Source organism: Homo sapiens, chromosome 16 (assembly GCF_000001405.40).
Source record: "Homo sapiens chromosome 16, GRCh38.p14 Primary Assembly".
Taxonomy (NCBI): domain Eukaryota; kingdom Metazoa; phylum Chordata; class Mammalia; order Primates; family Hominidae; genus Homo; species Homo sapiens.
In genome coordinates this window covers 81,158,644-81,171,606 of record NC_000016.10, presented here as the reverse complement: position 1 = coordinate 81,171,606, position 12,963 = coordinate 81,158,644, and the positions used below count along the sequence as shown (strand labels likewise).

The window sequence follows — 12,963 nt, the reverse complement described above, 5'->3', positions numbered from 1 at the left end:
GTAACATATTCACAGGTTTCAGGGATGTGAATGTGGGCATCTTGAGGGGGCTGTTATCTGCCTAATCACACATCATACAAGGCAGACAGAGGTCTGCAGGGCTTTAGAAACCACCAGTGAGGCCAGGTGCGGTGGCTCACGCCTGTAATACCTGCACTTTGGAAGGCTGAGGCAGGTGGATCACTTGAGGTCAGAAGTTCAAGACCAGCCTGGCCAACATGGCAAAACCCTGTCTCTACTAAAAATACAAAAAATTAGCTGGTGATGGTGGTGCGCACCTGTAATCCCAGCTACTCAGGAGGCTGAGGCCCGAACCCAGGAGGCGGAGGTTGCAATGAGTCGAGATCATGCCAGTGTACTCCAGCCTGGGTGACAGAGCGAGACTCTGACTCAAAAAAAAAAAAAAAAAAGAAAGAAAAGAAAAAGAACCCCCTAATAACCCTGGTCACTCCTGACCCTGCATCTTCCTGACACTACTTCATGGAGCCACAGAATTACATTTCCTCTCCCTGCCTTTCTCCCCCGTGCCAAGGTCAGAGAGCATGTGCTGGGATCACTGTCTGCAGTCACCACCGGCTTGGAGGACGTGCAGAGGGTGCAGGAGCTGGCCGAGGTGCTGAGAGAGGTGACCTGCCGGAGTAAGGAACTCACACCCTCGGCCCAGGTGAGTAGCTCCCATCTACAGAGGCTAACATGGGACACGCTCCTTCACAGCAGGTGGGTGATCAGCATAGGTTGAAGGGGTCCCTTGGTCACAGGGCTATTTTGGGGCTGCCAAGACCTCTGTCATCTTCTTTCCAGGGGTCCTGCATGGGCGATTCATGGGAAGGTGCCCCTCCTGCTGCCCATGTATCTCACGCTAGGTGAGAGGGCCTGTTTGCCCAGACTCTCACTCCTGCATCTGCTGGTGAGCAAGTTGAGGGAGTAACTGAATCTCATTAATATTTGGGTGGCCAAATGTGAGTCCAGACACTGCTACTGACTGCCCATGTTCTCAACTTCAGTACATGCCAGCCTGACATCTGGCTGCCAGCTCCTGTGCTTCCTTATCCTTCTGGGGGTCTTCTCTGACCCTCAGAGCCTACTGTACCTGCCCATATGGCTGTGAATTCATGCAGTGTTCAGTGACTAATGAAGCTGGCTTATAAACACCCCAGCTACCTCACCCCTCTTGATGGATAATCCCAAGCAGGAGTGAATCCCAGGTAATGGGCTTGATCACACTCCTGTACTGGCTTCCACCCTTCCCTGTCTCACACCCCCTACTCCCCACAAGTGTTTCTTGGGATCATGTCCAAATAAATGACTTGCTCTCAAATTCTTGCTCTGGGATCTGCTTCTTGGAGAACTCAAATTAAAACACCGTGTTCCCAGGGTTCTGACAGCCAAGGGTTAAAAAAGAAGCCATAGGTGAGGCACGGTGGCTGACGTCTGTAATCCCAGCATTTTGGGAGGCAGAGGCAGGAGGATCGCTTGAGGCCAGGAGTTTGAGACCAGCCTGGGCAACATAGTGAGACCTCATCCCTTCAAAAACAAAACAAAGGCCGGGCACGGTGGCTCACGCCTGTAATCCCAGCACTTTGGGAGGCCGAGGCAGGTGGACTGCCTGAGGTCAGGAGTTTGAGACCAGCCTGGCCAACATAGTGAAACCCCATTTCTACTAAAAATACAAATATTAGCTGGGCGTGGTGGTGTGCGCCTGTAGTCCCAGCTACTCGGGAGGCTGAGGCAGGAGAATTGCTTCAACCCAGGAGGTGGGGGTTGCAGTGAGCCGAGATCGTGCCACTGCACTCCAGCCTGGGTGATAGAGACTCCATCTCAAAAAAACAAACAAACAAACAAAAACAAAGCAAAACAAAATTGGTTGGGCATCATGGTACACACCTGTAGTCCTAGCTACTTGGGAGGTTGAGGTGGGAGGATCAATTGAGCCCGGAAGGTCGAGGATGCAGTGAGCCATGATTGTGCCACTACACTCCAGCATGGCAGACAGAGCAAACCCTATGAAAAAAAATAACAATAAAAAGAAGCCCTAAAAACAGGGAAAGCGGGCCAGCACAGTGGCTCATGCCTGTAATCCCAGCACTTCAGGAGCCTGAGGCAGTAGGATCACTTGATCCGTAGAGTTCAAGCCCAGTCTGTGAAACATAGGGAAACCACATCTTTACAAAAAAAAAAAAAAAAAAAACAACACCTAAATACTGGCTTATACCTGTAGTCCCAGCTACTCAGGAGGCTGAGGCATAAGGGATACTTGAGCCCAGGAGTTCGAGGTTACAGTAAGCCATGCTTGCGCTACTGCACTCCAGCCTGGGCAACAGTAAGAATCTATCTCAAAAACAAACAAAAAAACAGAAGAGAAGAGAACTGTCCTGGCTTTGCCCCACGCACTCTGGTAGGAGGTTGTGCTCCTAAAATCTTCCAGCCTGAAGCCAGCAAGGCTGGTCTTGATTCTGGGGCTAATTCTTGATATGACACTTCCCATTTACACATCCATTTGCTAATCCATCTATTTACATGCATATACACTGTATATACATGGACCTGTACACATCCTCCACTCTATCCTTCTATCCATTCATGCATGCATTAATTTCATCATTCATTTAACAAATGCTTCCTGAATGTCAAGTATGTGCCAGGTAATGTGCAACGCATTGAGAATTCAGCAGCAAATCATGTAGACATGGCATCTGCCATTACGGTCCTTTCAGATTACTGAGACAGCCAGACATTAGACAAATAATTTCAAAAATACATAGAAAACTACAAAATTTGAATATGTACTGAATCCATCCGCCCACCCACCCACGCAACCATCCACCTATTCATTCATCTACCATCCACCCATCTATTCATCCATCATTCATCCATCCTCCATCCATTCATCTTCCACCCATTCATCCATCCACCTGTCATCCATCCATCTATCCACCCACTTATCCATCCTTCATTCTCCATCCATCCACCCCCCCACCATTCATCCATCCACCCACCATCCACCCATCCATCCATCTACCATCCATCCACCCACCCATCCATCCATCCATTCATCACCCATTCATCCTCCATCCACCCATTCATTCATTCATCCTCCATCCATCCATTTTCCACCCATCCACCTATCATCCATACATCCATTTATCAAACTGCCTATCCACCCTTCATTTATCCATCCATCCATCCATCCATCCATCCATCCATCCATCCATCCGTCCCCTAGTCATTGAATGTTCTTGAAGACCTGCTATGTGCTGGGCACTGTGCAGGGCGTTCTGGGAAGGATTCAGAGGCAGACCAGGCTACTCTCCTAGAGGATCTCAGAGGACTGTAAGGTGGGAGGCCCTGGTCTCAAGCCGGAGATACAGGGAGCTCGTGTGCCAGGTCTAGCCCAGCTCTTTCCTGGCTTGTTCCCCTCCTTGCTTCCCTTGTCCCTTGAATGACACAGGAATGGTCTATCTTAAGCAGAGGCTCACATCGCTTTTCCTTATTTGGGTGAACCCAGTGGGAGGCCAGCTTGGCTCTACAGCATGCCAGTGAGGCCCTGTTGACAGTGAGTGCCAAGGCCCGCCCTGAGGACCAGAGGCGCCAGGCAGCCACCAGGGACCTGTTTCAGGCTGTGGGCAGTGTGCTGGAAGCTTCCCTGAGCAACAGACCAGAAGAGCCTGCGGAGGCCAGCAGCAGCCAGGTGGGTGTCCAGGCCAGATGCAGACCTCACACACACTGAATGCTTAGTCACATCAGCTTTTCTAGGTGGAACTTTCCCCCCCCATCTTGCAGATGAGGAAAGTGCGGCACAGAGGTTAAGGTGTTGCCCTGGGAGGTGGAAGAAAATTTCCAGAGAGCATGCCGGGCGCGGTGGCTCAAGCCTGTAATCCCAGCACTTTGGGAGGCGAAGGCAGGAGGATCACCTGAGGTCAGGAGTTCAAGACCAGCCTCAACATGGAGAAACCCCGTCTCTACTAAAAATACAAAATTAGCCGGGCGTGATGGCCGGCGCCTGTAATCCCAGCTACTCGGGAGGCTGAGGCTGCAGAATTGCTTGAACCTGGGAGGCGGAGGTTGCAGTGAGCCAAGATCGCGCCATTGCACTCCAGCCTGGGCAACAAGAGTGAAACTCCTTCTCAAAAAAAAAAAAAGAAAGAAAAAAAGAGAAAATTTCCAGAGAGCAGGGCTTCTGGGAGGCAGTGTGGAGTGGTGGCCAAATCACAGGCTCTGGAATGAGACGGTCTGAGTTTGAATCCTGCCTCTGTCGCTTAGGAGGCTTGTGACCTGGGCAAGTTACAGAGCTTACCTAAGCCTCATTTCCTTATGTGTAAATCAAGGCACTCTGCCTCATCCCAAATAAGCTGCCAACTGGAGAGATCATATGGACCCACTAGCAGGTCTGGGTAAACTTGTGGCTCATTTTACCAAGAACACAGAAGAGAGGCAGCTGCCCAGAGTAAGAATAGGTGTAGCACTGTGTCACGTGGCCCCAGCATCCTGGTGGGGACATAGCCTCCTAGATGGCATCATGACAGAGCCACAAAACCCATTTCTTGCTGTTGCATGGTTCTTGATCACATGGGGCCATCACCTCCATTCAGGAAGAACTGAAAGACACACAACACGCAAAGATGCGTGGATGCACACACGCACATGCTCAGACACACTCAATCTCCACAAACACACACAAAAACACATGGCCACACTCACACTCATGTGCAAGCTCACACACACACTGAGAGGACCTCATACTCACACGGCCTCAAGCACACACTTTTGCACACAGATGCACATTTACACACACGCATCTTCACACAGGGCCATGCAGTCACATGCACTCACATACTCACAGACCCTCACATATGGTTGCACACTCCATAATCATGCAGTCACCTGTGCACACTCACACACTCAAACACTGTACCCACACACGCTCAGGACCACACTCACATTCGCTCACACATACACACGCTCAAACACTGACATTCACATGCAGTGATGTCACCCTCACACTGTGTGTTCACGTGTGTGCGCACATGCACACATACACTCACACACACTCACACCCACACGATCTGTGCCCCAACAGGAATTATGTGCAAACATCCAGCCCTTCCTGGGTCCCCGCACCAGCCGTGGTGTCAGGATGCATCTCATCTGGGGGTTGGGACGGGTGGGGAGCAGATTCGAAGCCCAGGTGACCTGGTGAAATGGCCTCGCTCTCAGCTGTCCATTTCCCCTGGAACAAGCCTTAGGGTGCTGGCAGATGTCAGCAGCCCAGACAGCCACATTGTCTGACAGCCCAGCACACGGGCTCTGTAGCCATATGCTTTGCCGTGAGTCCTGGCTCTTCCCCTTATCAATTTGTGACCTCCCACAGCCTCCTACCCTCTCTGTGCCTCCATCCCCCATCTGTCCAATGGGGCTAGTGAAGCCCCTGCCACACCGAGTTACTGTGAGGATGGAATGGGCTCACAAAAGCCAGTCTGGAAGCTTTATGAGTACTGTTCTTGGGCCACCTCCGAGGCAGTCTTACTCCCTCCTCTCTGTACTCTCCCGATCCCTCCTGAAGGTCCCACATTGGCCTGGTGACAGTAACCAAAGATGGTGTATGGCAGCAGGTCCATAGCAACATCTTCCTGCCTCCTTTTTCAGATTGCCACAGTGCTGCGGCTGCTTCGAGTCATGGAGCATGTGCAGACCACCCTCCTGCTGGGAAAACTGCCAGGGGGCCTTCCAGCCATGCTGGCCACCCCCTCCATCTCTGTGTACACAAACAGGTACAAACCAGCTGCGTTACAGGTCCCCAAGAAAGCTCATCCCCTAACCTGGTTCATTCCACACCGGCACTCCAAAGCCCTGTGCTAGGCAGAGCTCAGGAGACCAGCCTTGGAGCTAGAGAAGTGATGGGACCTAGAGCTGGGAAGGGCTTCCCACCGAGAGAAGGCCCCCTTGTCACCATGTTGAGTGTTTGCACAGCACAGGAAGGGAGGCATGGAGTGCCAAGCCCAGTGTTAGATCCACCTGAAGGAGTCCTGAGAGACGGTCACATGGCAGCTGTGCAGGCCAGGGGGCTGAATGAATGGGACTAGCCTGCTGTTAACCATGCTGTGCATGTGTCTGACCAGCCACTGCTCCTTGGGCCTGCAGGGACTCAAGATCCTCTTACTTTTGGCGTGCGCGCGCACACACAAACACACACACACACAGAGGGCTCATCTCTCAGTGAGCACTGATGCCATACCTGGGATGCTCCACACCTTCCATTCCTCCACCTGACAAGCAGGAGCTGGACAATGCTGCTGGCAACACTGGGACCCTCTGCCCCAAGCCTCAGTTCCTCCTGCCAGGGTTTCCCTCTTAGATCTCACAGACAGTTTCCCAAAGCAGTATCCTGATTAGAGGAACGATCTGAAGTGGGGTCCCCAACAAGATCAGAAAGGGGCAAGGTCAAAGACCAGAAAAGATGGGGCGGGGTTAAGACATGACGTCAGAGGTCCAGGTGGGAAGGGGAGATAACCCTGGAGAAAAACCTGCATCCAAGCTCATTTATTCATTCAACGAAAATACTGATGGACTACCTGTTATATGCCAGGCGCTGCTGTAGACATTGGGGATACAGTAGTAAACCAGGCTGGCAAAGCCCCACCCTCATGGAGCCTCCAGTCTAGCTGCCTCTTGTGCTGCTTCTGCTGAAACAAACATGCTGAACCACCTATGGGAATCAAAACACACCCCCACTCTGATGGTGAAGCTGGGCTCCCAGTAGTGCAGGAGGTGTGAGGGCTCCCTCGAACACTGACTTTCTCCTCCCTCCCCTGCCACCTCTGTCCTCACCTTGTGGCCAGAATACAACCCTGGAGTTGGCAAGGCTCCTCCCTGCGCCCTGATGCCGCAGACTCTGCAACCTTCATGCTGCCCGCTGCCTCCTCCCTCAGCTCTCTGGAGGGCGGCCAGGAGCCCGTGGATATAAAGGTAATAACGGTAGTAGCGTCCTTGGGGACAGCCTTTACAGTTTGCAGAGCACTTTCACGTGCATTTCCTTATTTGTGTTTAGTATGATGATGCCCGCTGTACCAGTGAGGTTCAATGATTTTCCCAAAGCCACAAGTAAGTGGCTCTGCCGGCCTTCAGACCCACACCTCTGGGCTCCCAGATTTACCCTCTTTCCATTGTGCTACAAAATTTCTCCAACAGCCTTGATTCAGGTAGTCACTGGAAATAAAGCTCTTCAGCTTAGTGTCATAACTTGGAAATGGCCAACCCAGGCTCTCTTCCATCCGCAAATTAAAGCACGTCTAACTGTGTACTCCCTGAGCTCTAGTGAAAGCAAACATCTTTCTCTTAAAGACTTACTGGCTTTTGGGGAAGAAAGACTTGGATGGGGAGGCTGAGGAGAACAGATCACCTGAGGCCAGGAGTTCGAGACCAGCCTGGCCAACATGGTGAAACCCCATTTCTACTAAAAATACAAAATTAGCCGGGCATGGTGGTGCACACCTGTAATCCCAGCTACTCAGGAGGCTGAGGCAGGGGAATGGCTTGAACCCGGAAGGCAGAGGTTGCAGTGAGCAGAGATTGTGCCATTACACTCCAGCCTGAGTGACAGAGCGAGACTGTGTCAAAAAAAAAAAAAAAAAAAGACTTGGATGGTTTTACATTCCAGTCATTGCTCAGCCCAAGCAAGTCTGATATGGGTCCTCTAGCGCAGGTTCTCTGCGGCCTCAGCCCTGAGGCTGGAAACATGCCAGGGGAAGCAGCAGCAGCCGAAGGCAGGCCCCACCCGCCCCACACGCCAGGGCTACTTCTCCTTGAGTCTTAGGACCTTGTCTTTCACCCTCCAGCTTCTCAGGGGCCTTGGCCAACACTCCTTGCTCTTGGTTTCAGATCATGAGTTTCCCAAAGAGCCCCTTTCCAGCCCGAAGCCACTTTGATGTCAGCGGGACTGTCGGTGGCCTCCGTGTGACCAGCCCTAGTGGTCAACTCATACCTGTGAAGAATCTGTCGGAGAATATCGAGGTAGAAGTTTGGGGTGTCGTCAAAAGTTAGGTGGGCCCAGGCTGGAGTTCAGTGGCATGATCTCAGCTCACTGCAACTTCTGCCTCCTGGGCTCAAGCGATCCTCCCACCTTAGCCTCCCAAGTAGCTGGGGCAACAGGTGCACGCCACCACATCCAGTTGATTTTTTTTTTTTAAGTTTTGGTAGCAACAAGTTCTCACTATATTGCCCAGGCTGGTCTTAAACTCCTGGGCTCAAGCAGTCCTCCCACCTTGGCCTCCCAAAGTGCCAGGATTATAGGTGTGAGCCACTGCACCTGGCCACATTTCTGTTTTTTTTTTTTTTTTTTTTTTTGAGATGGAGTTTTGCTCTTGTTGCCCAGATTAGAGTGCGATGGCGAGATCTCGGCTCACTGCAAACTCTGTCTCCTGGGTTCGAGTGATTCTCCTGCCTCAGCCTCCCGAGTAGCTGGATTACAAGCATGCGCCACCATGCCCGGCTAATTTTTTGTATTTTTATTAGAGACGGGGTTTCACCATGTTGGTCAGGCTGGTCTTGAACTCTCGACCTCAGGTGATCCACCTGCCTCGGCCTCCCAGAGTGCTGGGATTACAGGCATGAGCCACCACGCCCAGCCTCTGTCTTCTTTTTCAACTTGGTTGAAATTGAAAGTTGGCCAATTATTTTTTTTAAAAAATGGTTAGAGAAGAGAATTTTCCAAAATGATCCTTACCAGCTGGTCCTGGTAGTTCACACTTTGGGACTGGTAGTCCCAGCACTTTGAGAGATCAAGGTGGGAGGATCACTAGAGACCAGGAGTTCAAGACCAGCCTCGGCAACAATGTGCAACACCATCTGTACAAAAAATACAAAAATTAGTCAGGTGTGATGGCATGCACCTGTGGTCCTAGCTACTCAGGAGGCTGAGGCAGAAGGATTGCTTAAGCCCAGGAGGTCGAGGCTGCAGTGAACCAAGATTGGTTTAAAAAATAACAGCAACAGGCTGGGCGCACTGGCGCATGCCTGTAATCCCAGCACTTTGGGAGGCTGAGGCGAGTGGATCACCAGGTCAGGAGATCAAGACCATCCCGGCCACCGTGGCGAAACCCTGTCTATACTAAAAAAAATACAAAAATTAGCTGAGTGTGGTAGTGCGGGCCTGTAATCCCAGCTACTTGGGAGGCTAAGGCAGGAGAATGGCCGGAACCCGGGAGGCGGAGATTACAGTGAGCCAAGATCGTGCCACTGCACTCCAGCCTGGCGACAGAGTGAGAATCCATCTCAAAAACAAAAAACAAAAGAACAACAAACAAAAAAAGGTCCTTACCCTAGCTTAATCATTGTACTTAACTTAAAACTACAAATGCATGTTCATTCACCAATCCTTGGGTATATAACCAGAGTTTTCCTGGTTATATAAATCTGTTGTTTGGAATTTTAGTTATCTTCGTTACATAAACCATTCCCACTACATAGCCTCTAAAATGTCCAGTTAGGCTGGGCACAAGGGCTTACACCTGCAATCCCAACACTTTGGGAGGCTAAGGCGAGTCGATCACCTGAGATCAGGAGTTTGAGACCAGCCTGGCCAACAGTAAAACAGTTTGCATAGCACTTTCTCGTGCATTTGCTCATTTGTGTTCAGTAAAACTCCGTCTCTACTAAAAACACAAAACTGGCTGGGCGTGATGGCAGGCACCTGTAGTCCCAGCTACTCAGAAGGCTGAGGCTGGAGAATCACTTGAACTTGGGAGGCAGAGTTTGCAGTGAGCCATGATCGCACCGTTGCACTCCAGCCTGGGCAACAGAGCAAGACTCCATCTCAAAAAAATAAATAAAAAATAAAATGTCCAGTTAGATTTTCTTTAAACAAAAACGTAAACATACCATGGTGCAACCTAAATACATTTTTTCAAAATTTTAATGATTCTATTCTAGTCTTCTACAATTTTCTCATCAATGCCTAATTCAATAACAATTTTAGTGATGTCTGTGTTCTCATCCCTGGAGCCTGTGAATATGTCACCTTAAATGCAAAAGGGAGGTCAGGTGTGGTAGCTCACACCTGTAATCCCATCACTTTGGGAGGCTAAAGTGGGAGGATCACATGAGCCCGAGACTTCAAGGTTATAGTGAGCTTTGGTCATGCCATTGCACTCCAGCCTGGGTAACAGAGCCAGGCCCTGTCTAAAAACAAAAACCCAACAAAACTGCAAAAGGGATTTTGCAGATGTGCTTGAGTCTTGCCCATCCTGAGCTGGGGAGATTATCCTGGGTTATCTGGTGGGCTCCGCGTCTTCCCAGGGGTCCTTATAAAAGGGAGGCAGAAAGGGAGGTGACTCCAGAAGACAAAAAGGTGACTTGATGCCAGAAGCAAGAGGCTGGAGTAATGCGAGGAAGGGGCCATGAGCCAAGGAATGCAGGCGGCCACCAGAAGCTGAAAAAGGCAGGGAAGTATGTTCTCCCCTAGCCCTGGGAAACTGATTTTGCACTTCCAGCCTTTAGAACTAAAAGATAACAACTGTATATTGTCTTAAGCTTCCCACAGTGGTCATTTGTGATAGAAGCCTTAGGAAACTAATACAATGAGCAAAGCCCGGCCTGGATTTCTGTTCCCAGGTGCTCAGGCCACACAGCTCTACACAGCAGTCCTGATGCCCACGGGCTGGCATTGCCTTCCTGGCACACCTTCAATAGGATTGTTTCTGATCACAGATCCTGCTGCCCCGGCATTCACAAAGACACAGCCAGCCGACCGTGTTGAACCTGACCAGTCCTGAAGCTTTGTGGGTGAACGTGACTTCAGGGGAGGCAACCTTGGGGATCCAGCTGCACTGGAGACCAGACATTGCACTCACGCTTAGCCTGGGCTATGGCTACCACCCCAACAAGAGCAGCTACGATGCCCAAACTCACCTCGTACCAATGGTGGCTCCAGGTAGGCCTGTGACCATTTCCTGAGCTGCTGCCTGGGGTATGATCAGCTTCACTTGGAAATCAGAAGCCACAGGAAGAAAAGCAAAGAAAAAAACCACCCCACACATTCAGTGGCTTATTTTTTATTGGTGTTACTATTTGCCAACATTAGGTGAGCACTTACTATATGCCCCAAAGAAGTTTACAAGCTCATATAGGACTGACCTCATTGCAATCCTCATGACAACCCTTGGCAGGGGGAACTATTGAAATTTCCACTTTCAGCCAAGTGTGGTGGCTCACGCCTGTAATCCTAGCATTTTGGGAGGCCAAGCCGGGCAGATCACTTGAGGTCAGGAGTTCAAGACCAGCCTGGCCAACATGGCGAAACCCCATATCTACTGAAAATACAAAAAGTAGCTGGGCGAGGTGGTGCACACCTGTAATCCCAGGTACTCAGGAGGCTGAGGCACAAGAATAGCTTGAACCCAGGAGGCAGAGGTTGCAGTGAGCTGAGATCACACCACTGCACTCCACCCTGGATGACAAAGCGAGACTCTGTCTCAAAAAAAAAAAAAAAATCTCTACTTTCCAGATAAGAACAAAGAGGTTAAGGAAAAGGAACTGGTCTGAGCTCATACAGCCAATAAGGGGCAGAATCTGTGTTTGAGCCCTTGTCTGCCTGAGTCAGCTGTGCACCCTGACTGGGGAGTGCCCCTTCTTCTATGCTCCTGGTCTCAGGAGGAGAGAGTGCTTGTAGGACATCAGGGGTGGGGGAAAACCGGCAGGGTCTGCTTCCCTGCCAAGTGGCTCAGTCACCCTCTCCCATGATCTTAACGCCCATCTCAAGGAGGCTTCAGGCTGACCTGGAACCCCCTTTCCTACAGATGAGCTGCCCACGTGGATCCTGAGCCCACAGGACCTGCGTTTTGGAGAAGGGGTCTACTATTTGACTGTGGTCCCTGAGTCTGACCTGGAGCCAGCCCCCGGCAGGGACCTCACGGTTGGCATCACCACCTTCCTGTCTCACTGTGTGTTCTGGGATGAGGTCCAGGAGACTTGGGACGACTCAGGATGCCAGGTAAGGAGAGCGAAGTGAAGGAGATGAGGCAGCTTGGTGGGCTGTGCCCAGCTCATGTAGGGTTCCCTTTTGGTGCCTCTGGCACAGCATCTTGAGCCTCTCCGTGGGGCCTTTGCTGTTCCTGGTGCCTAGGATACCCGCCTCATCCTCGCTTCAGCCTAAGCATTGCTTCCTCGAGAAAACTGTTCTTAACTCCCTAAGTCAGATTTCCTATTGTGAACCCCCAGAGCACACACATCCAGAGCATCCAACCCCAGTGCTCCTCATCCATAGCGCTAAGCAGAGGGGTCATTTCACCTCTACGCATGAGATCATTTAAATGACGTCTGTCTCCCTCCATGCACTGGGAGCCCCCAGTGCAACAGGAACAATGTGCTTTGTTCATCACTGAGAACAAATGGTCATTGACCCAGGCGACGAATGACTCAGGAAGGCCTGCTGCCTCTAGGTTGTTAAGGGAGGCCAGGGTGTCATTTCCAAGAGAATGAACTCATAGCTCAGCCCTTAGTTCTGTGCCAGGTGCAGAGCTCCATGCTTTGCTTACATCGGCTCATCAGATCTGCACAATCATCTCCAAGACAGCTGTGACTCTCATTTTACAGGGGACAAAACAAAGGCTCAGGAAACTCAACTGACTTGTCCCAAATCTTACATGTAGGGCCAGGCACGGTGGCTCAAGCCTGTAATCCCAGCACTTTGGGAGGCCGAGGCGGGTGGATCACTTGAGGTCAGGAGTTCAAGAGCAGCCTGGCCAACATGGTGAAACCCCATTTCTACTAAAGATACAAAAATTAACCGGGTGTGGTGGTGGGCACCTGTAGTCCCAGCTACTCAGGAGGCTGAGGCAGGAGAATCGCTTGAACCTGGGAGGTGGAGGTTGCGGTGAGCCGAGATGATGCCACTGCACTCCAGCCTGGGCGACAGAGCAAGACTCTGTCTCAAACAAACAAACCATCTTCTTTACCCACCAGAAGGCCCTA

At 51.0% G+C, this 12,963-nt stretch overlaps 1 pseudogene across 1 annotated transcript in view; it reads left to right on the top strand.

Moving 5' to 3' along the window:
- The window catches only part of PKD1L2 (polycystin 1 like 2 (gene/pseudogene)), a 119,520-nt pseudogene that overhangs the window by 48,788 nt on the left and 57,769 nt on the right, over positions 1–12,963 (top strand). The window contains exons 17-23 of the transcript NR_126532.3: positions 533–664; positions 3,506–3,688; positions 5,644–5,768; positions 6,837–6,963; positions 7,876–8,007; positions 10,702–10,924; positions 11,790–11,983. The product of NR_126532.3 is annotated as a polycystin 1 like 2 (gene/pseudogene), transcript variant 1, non-coding (transcript). The remainder of the gene's footprint in view (positions 1–532; positions 665–3,505; positions 3,689–5,643; positions 5,769–6,836; positions 6,964–7,875; positions 8,008–10,701; positions 10,925–11,789; positions 11,984–12,963) is intronic.